Source organism: Homo sapiens, chromosome 18 (genome assembly GCF_000001405.40).
Source record: "Homo sapiens chromosome 18, GRCh38.p14 Primary Assembly".
Classification (NCBI taxonomy): Eukaryota; Metazoa; Chordata; class Mammalia; order Primates; family Hominidae; genus Homo; species Homo sapiens.
In genome coordinates this window covers 9,521,255-9,534,577 of record NC_000018.10, presented here as the reverse complement: position 1 = coordinate 9,534,577, position 13,323 = coordinate 9,521,255, and the positions used below count along the sequence as shown (strand labels likewise).

At 41.5% G+C, this 13,323-nt stretch overlaps 1 protein-coding gene across 8 annotated transcripts in view; it reads right to left on the bottom strand.

Annotated features, from left to right (window-relative positions):
• Positions 1-13,323, bottom strand: part of RALBP1 (ralA binding protein 1) — a 63,106-nt gene that overhangs the window by 3,537 nt on the left and 46,246 nt on the right. For all 8 annotated transcript variants that reach the window (XM_047437278.1, XM_047437282.1, NM_006788.4 and 5 more), the window contains 6 exons: positions 12,069-12,418; positions 9,823-9,984; positions 8,727-8,858; positions 3,637-3,744; positions 1,122-1,243; positions 752-875 (listed from right to left, as the gene is read on the bottom strand). In XM_047437278.1, the coding sequence (XP_047293234.1) occupies positions 752-875; positions 1,122-1,243; positions 3,637-3,744; positions 8,727-8,858; positions 9,823-9,984; positions 12,069-12,418 (998 nt within the window). The remainder of the gene's footprint in view (positions 1-751; positions 876-1,121; positions 1,244-3,636; positions 3,745-8,726; positions 8,859-9,822; positions 9,985-12,068; positions 12,419-13,323) is intronic.

The following is a 13,323-nucleotide window of genomic DNA, read 5'->3' as shown; positions in this document are numbered from 1 at the left end:
CGCAGGCTCGGCAGAGAGGACTCTGTGCAGGGTGGCTGTGTGTGGAATTCTGCTTTTCTATGCAGGGTGTAGTTCTGGTTCGCACCAGCCACTGAGCGAACCCAAATGAGGGATGCAGAGCTGTCCCTCTATCCTTAGATTCCTTTCTGTGAAGAGGGTATCTTCTCTCACTCAATCCTTAGGCAAAATATCTGGACACAATATTTTATTTGGGGTAAGAAGGGAAACTGTGATCTAGACCTTTATCTCTGCTGCCTTCTCTTCACTGTGCAGCCTCTCCTAGTTTCTTAGCGCCGATTCCCTCTCACCTGCTGCTTCTCGGGCTGAGGCCAAGAGAAACTCCGTCTCTTGCTTCACCCACAGGGAGACTCGGGAGACTGTTCTTCCATCACTAGCGCTGATTTTTCTGTTCACCTTCTCTGGGAACAGAGACTAGGTCATTCAAAGCTGCTCAAGCTGACACAGTCAGGTGAGGCTTGCCTTTACATCGGGTGGAGAAAGGTCTACATGTCACACTAAAGTCACAGAACTCCAGTTCACAGCCTGAGGAAGACACACAGGTGCCATCTGCTTGGCCAGCACTTAGCTCAAGTCCCACAGACTCTCGGTGAGATGTCCCCCTAAATTCCTCTCTACTCAGCCTCCCAGCTGGTGACCAAGAAAAAGAAGGACAATTCTGAGGGGAAATATGTGGTCTCTACAACTTTCTAAAAGTTAGTATGCATTTTGGCTATTTCCCCCCAAAACTCACTTCCAGCTCTTCGTTCTGTCTCTGTAAGTCTTCCAGAATGATCTGCAGCTCCTCCTCATCCTCACTCTCGCTCTCGCTCTCGGAGGAGTACTCCTCAGTCTCACTTCGGCCGTGCTGCTGGCGACTGCAAGATGAGAGACAAAGGAAGACGCTACTGGATGTGCTTGTCTGTGACCTCCTTTTATATTTACCACGTTTTCAGGACTCTACTCAATATAACACCATTCTTAGGACCTGATAAATAAGAAACTTAAAGATGATGAATTTCACATGCCTAATTCTTTTGTAGGAAAGTCTGAGAGCTAAAACAATTATGGTTATATTTAAAGAAACATGCTCAGAAGCTTCAAAACCCTCGGCTTTCCTTTACCTCTGAATTTCAGCAATCTCAGCTCTGAGGCGTTCAATCTCTTCTTTTTCTGAGGCAATCTGCCGGCGCAGAAACTGCTCCATGGCCAGGAGCTCCTCCTGTTCAGTCAGGATCTCATTCTCCTGAAATAATGAACACTGGTGAACAGCTCTGAGAGTTTTAGTCCAGGAAATGTCACTTGTTTAGGGTCTCCCATGTTGCCCTGAATTCTTGAGCCCCATTGAGTGCTGAACACGAGTTACGTACTGCACAACCAAAAACATCCTATTTCATTAGGGTCAAGAAAAGGCTTCTTTGAGAAAAGGTAAAGTTATTTTGGGGGAATGACTAGATTTTTCTCAATAACAAAATGCCACACAGGAACCCCATATCCTCCTACTGCAAAGGCCCCTGTGAGGCCCCCACAGGGAAAAGCCAGGACTTGAGGGATGAAACTGGCTTCGGCTTCCCACTCTTAATGCCTCCCCATCTCTCAGGAAAGTAGGCATATACAGGGCCATGGTGACCTTTGATGGGGTCACTAGGAAAAGAAGGATCCAAGAGATGTCTGGCTGGTGTCAGCATCACCTTTAAGGCAGATCAGTGGGAAGGAAAGATCATTACAGAAATTTTTTCACCTTTCCATAAGCCACCGTCCTCTTTAAAGTCCTCAGGGTTGTTTTTTTTTTTTTTGAGACAGAGTCTCACTCTGTCACCCAGGCTGGAGTGCAGTGGCACAATCTCGCTCACTCCAACTTCTGCCTCCTGGGTGCAAGTGATTCTCCTGCCTCAGCCGCTGAGTAGCTGGGATTACAGGCGCCTGCCATCACGCCTGGCTAATTTTTGTATTTTTAGTAGAGACAGGGTTTCACTATGTTGGCCAGGCTGGTCTCAAACTCCTGACCTCAGGTGATCCGCCCGCCTCAGCCTCCCAAAGTGCTGGGATTACAGACGTGAGCCACCATGCCTGGCCCAAAGGTATTTAAATAGTCAATATTCTGCTTTACCACAATATGCATTTCTAAGATTGGTAAGATCATCAGTCTTATTAAAAGAATGGGGAAAAAATCCCTATCTGCCCAAGATCTAGAGAGCCCCTCTGACCTAGAGAAAAGAAGCAAGGCAGACAAAGCTTAAGAGAGTAACAGAAGGTGGCTGTGGGGATGAGGAGCTGGGTGCGGACGTTCTTTCCAAATGAGCAGGTACTGAGAAGGTAGTTATTTACCATGGTCACATGCCAAAATGAACTACCCACAAACACCAACAGCGCTGAGAACGTCTCTCCAGGAGATGAAGGACACAGTACTGCTCAAATATTTTTGAACACAGATGTCTTTCCTATACCTCTGCATACCTACTAAAGCTGACATTCCAACAAACACCAGACTGAAAAACCCTGAAACAAAGATATAATCTGGGACTCATCCTCTCCTCAAGGAAAACTATGTGCTCCTGAGAGGCAAAACAACGCATGTTTCAGAGGTGACACAGAAGGACTGAAACCTATTGGGCTTCAGGGAAACCACACGAGTTTCTGGAACCCTAGACACACTGTGGTCAGAGCCTAGAACTTCATTCCTTTCTGGTTAAACTCTGGCAATTTCCAGAACAAAGTGAGGCTGACTTGAGAACTTCAGAAAGAAATGAGCTCATCTTCAGCTCTATGCCTGGAATACAGTAGGCACGAAAGGGATATCTGTTAAATCAATGAAGGACTAATAAGACAATTTGCCTCCAACAATTGACTTTCACCTGTAAAGAATAAAATCAAAATATCTAAAAGGTGTTATTAGCAACAACTATTAGATAAAATCTGTTTCTTACATTTCAAGGATTCCAGACTTTGTAATGTCAGGTACAACGGTTTTTAAAATATTTTTAAAAGTCTGATCTCATTAATATGGAACAAGTACCACTAATCTGTAAATTAGGGAAAAGACCTATAATTCGGACCTGTGTGCACACTAAATGAGATTAAACGTCTAGAACAATGCCCAGTAAAGAGTCATTACTGAATATAAGGTAGTTTCTTTCGCCATAACTGAACATTTTAACAAACACAACATAAAGGAAGGGACAAATAAAACAGACACAGGCCCTCAAAATCACTTTATAATTTTGGTTAAAATATTCACATCTGTAGTAGAGCTTCTCAAGTTACTATTTTTAAATGACCATTAAGAGCCTTGCAGGCTGGGCGCGGTGGCTCACGCCTGTTAATCCCAGCACTTTGGGAGGCTGAGGCAGGCGGATCACCTGAGGTCAGGAGTTCTAGACCAGCCTGGCCAACATGGTGAAACCCCGTCTCTATTAAAAACACAAAAATTAGCTGGGTGTGGTGGCAGGTGCCTGCAATCCCAGCTATTCAGGGGGCCGAGGCAGGAGAATCGCTTGAGCCTGGGAGGCGGAGGTTGCAGGTTGCAGTGAGCCGAGATCGCTTCGACGCACTCCAGCCTGGGGGACAAGAGCGAGACTTTGTCTCAAAAACAAAAACAAAAAAGAGTCTTGCAAAAGAGAGAAAAAGATTTTAGGTTACCTGAGCAAGGAGAATATTTATAACTTCTTCATTTTCATTCATCTCTTCTTTGGAAACATCCTCTTTTGAAAGACTGGCTATCTCTTGTGCAATCTTGGTTTCACACTCCTGTCAAATAAGACAAATAAAAAAGAACTAGTCAGCCCATATGTAACACATATTCAACAAATCACACCACCACCAATCTACACGTTTCCTTCTCATTTCCTAGAATTGAAACAATAACAGTCAGATGAACCATCTAGCTGGATGGGCATTTGGTAACTGGGCTTGGAATATAACATGGAGATCTGAGTCTGTGCCTGCACTGTGAAAAATACTCAATTCTGGTGAATGTACTTGCCATTTCTGGTACCCTTCCACAGAAATTACCTATTGTAATACTTAGGGAGGGTGTGGTCAGGAGTGTAAATCTTGAGCACAGAATTTAGTGTTCACAAACATAAAGTCAAGTAACCAGCACCACCATCATGCTCTAGAACGTTTCCATTGCCACACAAAGTGCCCTTGGGCTCCTCCACCATCTGCCGGCATCTAGCAACCCGTCCTGGTCTCCATCGCTGCAGTTTTTCCTTTCCTTGAGTTTCATAACTGAATCAATCAGTAAGTAGTGTGATTATCTGGCTTCTTCCACTTAGCACAATGCTTTTAAGATTCATCTACTTGTCTGTCTGTATCAGTAGTTGCTGAGCAACATGCCATGGAATAAATGTACCCCAATTTGTTTATCCATTTACCAACTGATGGACATTGGGGTTCCTTCTAGTTGTAAGCTATTACAACTAGAGCTGTTAGGAACATTTCGCACATGCTTTGTGAGGGCAAATGCTTTCTTCTCTTAGAGAAATACCTAGGAGTGGGAAGCCTGGGTGCTATGGTAAGTAACCGCATGTTTAGCTTAATAAGAAACTGCCAAGCTGTTTTTCAAAATGGCTACACCATTTTGCATTACCAAGAGCAACCTATTCTAGTTGATGTATACTGTTATCTCAGAGTACTTTTAATCTGGATTTCCTTAATGACTAATGATGGTGAGAGTCTTTGCATGTGCTTGTCATCTATATATGATCTTTGGTAAAGTATTTGTTCAAATTTTTGCCTTTTAAAAATTGGTTGTTTTCTTATTAAACTGTAAACTTTAAAAAAAAAATCAAGTCCTTTATCAGATACAAGCTTTTGCAAATATTCTGTCGCAGCTTCTGGCTTGGATATTTATTTTCTTAATATCTGTTGAAGAGCATATTTTTAAATTTTTGATGAAATTCAATTTATCAAATTTTTCTTTTATAGTTTATAATAGGTTTTGTATCCTATTTAGGAAATTACTGCCTAAGCCAAGGACAGTAAGATATTTTCCTGTTTTTTTTTTCTTCTGGAAGCTTTTTTAGTCTTAGTTTATGATTCATTTCAAGCTATTTTTTGCATATGTTGTACAGATAAAGTTTTTTTCTTTGCATCTGTTCCAGCGCTGTTTGTTGAAAAGAATATCCCTTCCCCACTGAATTATTTTAGTATCTTCATTAAAAAGTAATTGCCCGCCGGGCGCAGTGGCTCACGCCTGTAATCCCAGCACTTTGGGAGGCCGAGGCAGGTGGATCATGAGGTCAGGAGATCGAGACCATCCTGGCTAACACGGTGAAACCCCGTCTCTACTAAATATACAAAAAATTAGCCGGGCGTAGTGGCGGACGCCTGTATTCCCAGCTACTCGGGAGGCTGAGGCAGGAGAATGGTGTGAACCCAGCGGGCGGAGCTTGCAGTGAGCTGAGATTGCGCCACTGCACTCCAGCCTGGGCAACAGGGCGAGACTCCGTCTCAAAAAAAAAAAAAAAAAGTAATTGCCCATATATGTGTAGGTCAACTTCTGAACTTTCTCTTCTGTATGTTATCCCTATCCAGTACATACCATCTTGATGAACTGCAGCTTTGTAGTAAGTCTTGAAATCGGGTAGTATGAGTCCTCCAATCTTCCGGCTATGTTCTTTTTCAAAACTGTTTACCTATTCTAGGTCATTTGTATTTCCACATAAATTTTAGAAGAGCTTATTCATTTTCACAAATACCATCTGTCTGGATTTTGATTGGGGTTGGACCCACAGACCAATCTGGGAAAATCTAACATCTTAACAATTATTGAATCTTCTGTTCCACATGCATGATTTCTCTCTCCATTTATTTAGGTCTCTCTCTTTTTATTTTTTTTTTTAGGTTCAATATCCAATTGTGCATTGCTAATATAAAGAAATACACTAGACATTTGTATATCTGGTCTTGTATCCTACAACCTTGCTAAACTCACTGATTAGCTCTTTTTTTGTAGATTCCTTAGGATTTTATATGTAGATAATTGTTGGGAATAGGCCCCCCAGAATCTGGCCATAAACAAAATCTCTGCAGCACTGTGACATGTTCGTGATGGCCATGATGCCCACGCTGGCAGGTTGTGGGTTTACCGGAATGAGAGCAAGGAACATGTGGCCCACCCAGGGTGGAAAACTGCTTAAAGGCGTTCCTAAGCCACAAACAATAGCAAGAGCGATCTGTGCCTTAAGGACATGCTCCTGCTGCAGATAACTAGCCAGAACACATCCCTTTACTTCGGCCCATCCCTTTATTTCCCATAAGGAATACTTTTAGTTAATCTATAATCTATGGGAACAATGCTTATCACTGGCTTGCTATCAATAAGAGGCTCTCAGCTCTGAAGGCTGAGACTCCACACCTCTATATTTCTGTGTGTGGCTCTCAGCTCTGAAGGCTGTGAGACCCCTGATTTCCCACTCTACACCTCTATATTTCTGTATGTGTGTCTTTTAATTCCTCTAGTGCCACTGGGTTAGGGTCTCCCCGACCAAGCTGGTCTCAGCAGATAATCATGTTATCCAAGAATAAAAACTTATTTCTCTCCAATATGTGTGTCTTTTTTCTTGCTTTATTGCACTGGCTAGAACGTCCAGTACAATGCTGAATAGAGGTGGTAACAGCAGAAATCCCTGCAGTGTACACCAATCTTAGGGTAAGCATTTAGTCTTTCACTATTAAGTATGATAATTGTAGATTCTTTGTAGATGTCCTTTATCAGGCTGAGAAAGTTATCTGCTGGGAATTTTATCATGAATAAGTATTGAATTCTACTAAATCTTCTTCTGCATCTACTGATACGATGTTGTGGGTTTTTCTTATTTTTAGTCTGTTAATATGATAAGTTACATTACTTCTGTCTTTAAAAGTCATTTATTCCTCAAAGTTGAAATTTGTGAAAATCTAACATCTTAACAATATTGAATCTTGTGTACCACATCCATGATTTATCTCTCCATTTACTTAGGTCTCTTTTTTTTTTAGGTTCAATATCCAATTGTGCATTGCTAATACATAAAAATACATTAGACTTTTGTAGAATCTTCTGTGCATTTTGTGAATTAATGAGCTGGCGTGAAAACATAGCATCGGGAAAATCGGTAAAGCAAAGTTAATCCATCCCTTCTTATATTGGTTCTGGCTGCTATACCATGATTCCTTTATTTAGGCAAGATGTAGAAGCAAGAGAAACAAAAGCCAAACCTCCATCAGCCCTGTCCTAGGTCAGTCAGGGGACTCTTCATTTAAAGGCTGACTGGCAATGCCATATGATTAACAATTACAATTTGCCCCTGAAGCCTGAGTGGTCCATCTCTAATACCTGATTCTAGGCTGAGACATGAAGGGAAAATTTTAACAGCAACACCAACACCAAAAACAAAAAACACGTAAAGGAAGCAAGAGATAGATAACCTAGTGAGCTAGGAAAAAGAAGGAAGAAAAATACGCAGAGGGCTTCTGCTACATTACATATCCTGGAGCGCACGTGTAAAAGTCCCATGAATGTGCCCCGTGTGACAAAGCTATCCTCCACATTAATACAAATCTCTAACCTCAAAGAAACAGAAGTATTCAGGTTGTCTTTGTCTCTTTAACACAACCACAACAGAGACCTACTATCATGTTCCCCAATTCAGGCAAGGGCTAACTAATGTTCCTTGGATGTGCTGTTTAGATGCTGCAGTTGATCTGCAATGTGGATTTTAAGGTGATCCAGAGATCTGGGATTTTACCATTGCTGTGGCTGGTACACTCACAGTCCCAGAACCAAGCAACACACACTAAACAAGAGGGAACTCAAAAGTCTGACTGGCATACCCTAAACTCATCAGGTATTGCAGGCCACTCTTATTATTATTACATAAATAGAATCTCTCCTGATCTTCAAGGCCTTCCAGGTGACCCTCATCACTACATTTCCAAAGAGCTGACTAATTCTAAATGCCTTAAATTCCCCAGCAGTCCCCAAAGGTGTGTCACCATCCAGCCTGTTTTTCATCCATAGAAAGCCCTGTTTACAGGTATAACCAAGCAGGAAATGACAAATTTTTTAGTAAAATCATTTTTAATTAAAACAAAACTTTCTAGGCCAGGCATGGTGGCTTATGCCTATAATCCTAGCACTTTGGGGGGTGGGAGGACTGCTTGAGCCCAGAAGTTTGAGACCAGTCTGGGCAGCATAACAAGACCCTATTTCTACAAACAATAAAAAATGAGCCGAGCATGGTGGCGCACACCTGTAGTCCCAGCTACTCAGGAGGCTGAGGTAGGAGGATCCCTTGAGCCCAGGAGGTCGAGGCTACAGTGAGCCATTATCGTGCCACTGCACTCCAGCCTGGGTGACAGAGCAAGATCCTGTCTCAAAAAAAAAAAAAAAAAAAAACTTTCTAGATTACACTGAAACATGTGACTGACACCAGGCTGCAATATCAATAATATAGGACTAGAAACATTTTAGTGAATAAATGTCCCACCAGAGAAGTTCACTTCAAGTGACATTATAATATTCTTAACAGAAAGAACTTGGGCTGGGGGTGGTGGCTCATGTCTGTAATCCCAGCACTCTGGGGGAGGCCGAGGTGGGAGGATTACTTGAGGCCAAGAGTTTGAGACCACCCTGGTCAACATCAAAAGAAAAAAGAAAGAAAGAAAAAAAAAGAGTACATAAAGTACATAAAAGACTCAAACACATTCTATTATAAACATTAGGTATCAAAATAATAACTCACCTGTCTTTTAGCTTCTCTCAGTTTTCTTTTGAGGGCTGTCAAAATTCTTTGTACTTCCCATAATCTTTCTTCTTTAGACAAATCCTTTATCCCACCCTGCAGATCTCGATGTAAACAATTCAAAAGAAACTCCTAGAAAGCAAATGCCACACACCTAGTTGCATTTCATATCCTCTTATCTTAAACTAACAACACGTGCAATTTCTAAAGATGAAGAATCAACTATTTTTCAATTATCCTTTATTTCATTAGAGTAAAATAATGGCACTAATTATTTTTTTGAAGATATGATTGAAAAATCATTCTTATTGTTTTGCCTATTAATTATTCACTAATTTGTATTGGTTCAATAATACTTAATCCACATCCCCATCTCCAATGTCATCATCATTAACTAGTAAGCATTGGGAGCTCAGGGCAGATACAAGGGAAGAAAAGCAAGCAGGGGTTTGATAAATTGCATGCAAATAAATAATCAAATGTAATTAACTTTCTTATTTAGTCTTGAATTACACACACACACACACACACACACACACGGCATTGTTACTTCCATCAAAATAGCACAGTAAAAAATCCCAGGATTTGGGCTCAAATCTTGGGTCTGTAATTAGTAATCATGTCACACAGGGTAAGTTACTTAACTTCCCTGAATTTTAATATTCTTATCTATAAAATATGGCTGATGACAGCAACCTTGTCAAGAAAAGGCAAACATCTTTAGACTATTTACAACGTGCCTGGCATGTTTCATATATTATCTCATTTGGGGTAATCTTCACATCAATCCTATAAGAGGATCCATTTTAAAGCAAGAACACCAGTGCTTAAGGTGGTTAAGAATTTGCCTAAAATCAGTTAACTAGATCAGAGCAAGAATTTAAAGCCAGGTGTTTTGATTCCAAAAACTATGCTCTTTCCACCATGGTATTCTGACTTATTTGGCATGAAACAGTACCAGATGGGAATTTCTGACTTCAGTGTGCCTAACATAGCTCCAGACACACAGAAAGTGTTCAGGAAACAAGAGCCCATCACCACTGGACTCCACAACAGCCAATGCAGAGGCAGGCTGTGGCAGGCAGGGTGCACACACCTGTCTCCTGATCTCCTCCTTGATGCCCGCCTGGGTCTCTGGCAGCGTGGGCATCGTGGCCATGTTAGACCATCGCAGAGGTTTCATCACTTGCTTTAGTACCACATTTCCAAAGAGTTCTTGCACATGTGTGAAAAACACATACAGGACTCGATTGCTGATCTAAGAAAAAAAGATTTACAAGAAAACCATTAAAACTATCATTCTATTTCACTTATTTGTGTCTATTACATAATATATCCTTTAATCCTGGACACATAAAGAAAATTCTACCCAGTAATGACAACACAGTCTTTGCTAGTTAATAGCCAATTTAAGAAGAAAATGGTAAAATATGAGTTAAATCATGTATTCAAGCACCAGAAAGATCTGAAGGGAAAAAAAGTCAAGAAAAGGATAGAGAAGTTGATGCCATCCATTTGTTTATTTTTTCTATCACAGTATTAACTGATTTAAACATCTTATTTTTTGTGTGTTTTTTGTTGTTGGTGGCGGTGGTGGTGCTTTTTTGAGATGGAGCCTCGCTCTGTAGCCCAGGCTAGAGTGCAGTGGCACAATCTCAGCTCACTGCAACCTCCACCTCACGGGTTCAAGCGATTTTCCTGCCTCAGCCTCCCCGGTAAGCTGGGATTACAGGCGTGTGCCACCATACCTGGCTGATTTTTTTGTATTTTCAGTAGAGACGGAGTTTCACCATGTTGGCCAGGCTGGGCTCGAACTGCTGACCTCAAATGATCTACCCACCTCAGCCTCCCAAAGTGCTGCGATTACAGGCGTGAGCCACCATGCCCGGCTAAAACATCTTATATTCTTTATTTTCAACTTACTTTGACATATTTTAACAGACGCAATGGAATGAATGAGGACCATGAGGGAAGTGGGAGCACCACAGTAGTAAAGCTGGGTTGAGGTTGAAAGCCCTCACTCCAGAAACAAATACCTGGACACAGCCAGCATTTAAGTATGGATGTTCATATGCTAGGAGGCCAGGGCATTAGGTTGGCTGAAAAGCTACTACAAGAAATTATTTCCTACCTAAAACTTACTCTTACAACACACTTGACTCTTCTATGATACAACCATCTCTATTATATTATAGTAATATTAAGTATCAATGTAATATTTACCAGATCCTGAAATCCTAATGATCAAACTAAAATCTGAGAAACATTTTGCTTTCAAAGCGTAATCAATGAGTAACAGAAGAATCTTTATTTTTTAGAGATAAAATCTTGCTCTGTCACCCAGAGAGGAGTACAGTGGCATGATCATAGCTCACTGCTGGGCTCAAGCAATCCTCCTACCTCAGCCTCCGAAGTAACTGGGACTACACATACATGCTACCACACCCAGCTAATTTTTAATTTTTATGTAGAGACAGGGTCTTGCTATGTTGCCTAGGCTGAACTCCTGGCCTCTCGCTATCCTCCTGCCACAGCCTCCTAAAGTGCTCGCATTAAAGGTGTGAGCCACCGCGCCTGACTGAAACGCTCTTTAGTAAATGAAAACACTCTCTAATAACAGTGACAGTGATTTATGGTGACTCAGAATACTGGCCAAAAAGAGGGCTTAAGATAATAAATATAACCTATCATCTCCCTTTTTATTGGCCTGAGTAAAATATCATTAACTGCAATTAAAAGAAAACATATACTCTATGACAGCACCAACTGAGCAGCAATAAAGGAAAGCCAAGTATGTATGTCGTAAAAAGATACCAATTAACACACTACCCAATTCCCTGAAGTTCCTTTTCAGATTCAGAGCCTATAACATGTCTCTCTAGGATCCATCCTTATGAATGAAATCCTCAGGCTAAATCTTTGACCAAACAATTAATGACAGGTCCCTTTGTGCCTGAGTTTGATGTGTGTCTGTGATCTAACGAAGCAATAATGCTATTGATTAAATAACTGGGATCTCTAAAATTCTACACACGAACTCTATAACTGTAGATGCCATGGGCTCCTCCTCCCCTAATGAAGGATCCTTGTCATCAGGTCTTGTTTATAAACCCACATCAAAGACTGTACCGCATTCAAATTACATCACTACAAGCTAAAGGGCAAGTATGTTATCTTATACATTGACACTGTCCAAATTATGAAAGGAAAAGACCCGTATTCAAGCTAATCCATTACCTATCTCCTCAAGTTCACTGCTTTACATGTGACTCAGCAATAGAAAATTACCCCAGTTCCCCAATGTCAGTACCAGAGGGTATATGTGTAGAGAAGACCATGTACCTGCACAGTTGGGCTGAGCACTATAGAAATGTTCTGTATATTCATTTTTGTTTCCAGTTCCTTTGCAATGACATGGTCCATGTGCACAATGAGCCAAGAAATCAGAAGATAGTTACATTCTGGCAGTTCTTTGAGTAAACGCTGGAATTCCTGCACTTTCTCAGTCTCCGTGGTCCTCCCACAAGCCTCTTCAAATCTGGGCATAAGCTCTTTGGTAAGCAAATTCTCTGGAAGGTCTCGCAAATACTGCTTCAGCAAACTGGCTACAGTGTTAGGCTCATAGTCTTCCAAGTTTGTAGACTCCTCCCGGTCATAGGCTGCTTTTAGCTCATCCACCTTTGATTTAATTCCTTAAAACATTCAAATTCAGAAGAGAGAAGATACTGAGAAAAGAAAATCAAACACACAAGTTTTCTTTACCATTATCCCCACCCTTGCTAAGGAGATGAGAACAGCAACCTGACCAATAACGAACCTCTTGTTATGAAATATTTATCTGCACAAAGGTCGTACAGTTCCTCTGTAAACACTAACATGTAAGACTACACTTGGCTGGGCGCAGTGGCTCACACCCATAATCCCAGCACTTTGGAAGGCTGAGGCGGGCAGATAGCTTGAGCCCAGGAATTCGAGACTAGCTGGACAACATGGTCAAAACCTATCTCTACAAAAAATACAAAAATTAGCTGGGCATGGTGGCGTGCGCCTGTGGTCCAAGTTCTTTGGGAGGCTGAGTTGGGAGGATCACTTGATCCTGGGAGGTTGAGTCTGCAGTGAGCCATAATTGCACCACTGGACTCCAGCCTGGGCAACAGAGTAAGACACTGTCTCAAAAAATAAAAAAAATAATTAAAAACAGGCCAGGCACCATGGATCACACCTGTAATCCCAGCACTTTGGGAGGCCAAGGCAGGAGGATTATTTGAGGTCAGGAGTCCAACACCAGCCTGGCTAACATGGCAAAAACCTGTCTCTACTAAAAATACAAAAATTAGCCAGGCGTGGTGGTGTGCGCCTGTAATCCCAGCTACTTGGGAGGCTGAGGCAGGAGAATCACTTGAACCTGGGAGGCAGAGGTTGCAGTGAGCCGAGATCACACCACTGCACTTCAGCTTGGGTGACAGAGCAAGACTCCATCTAAAAACAAAAAACAAAAAACAAACCCAAAAAACTAACTTCAAAAGTGAATTTAACCAAAAGTTAAATGATAATTGAAAAGCTCAACAGTCAGAAGTCAAAGCAACCATGGATATAT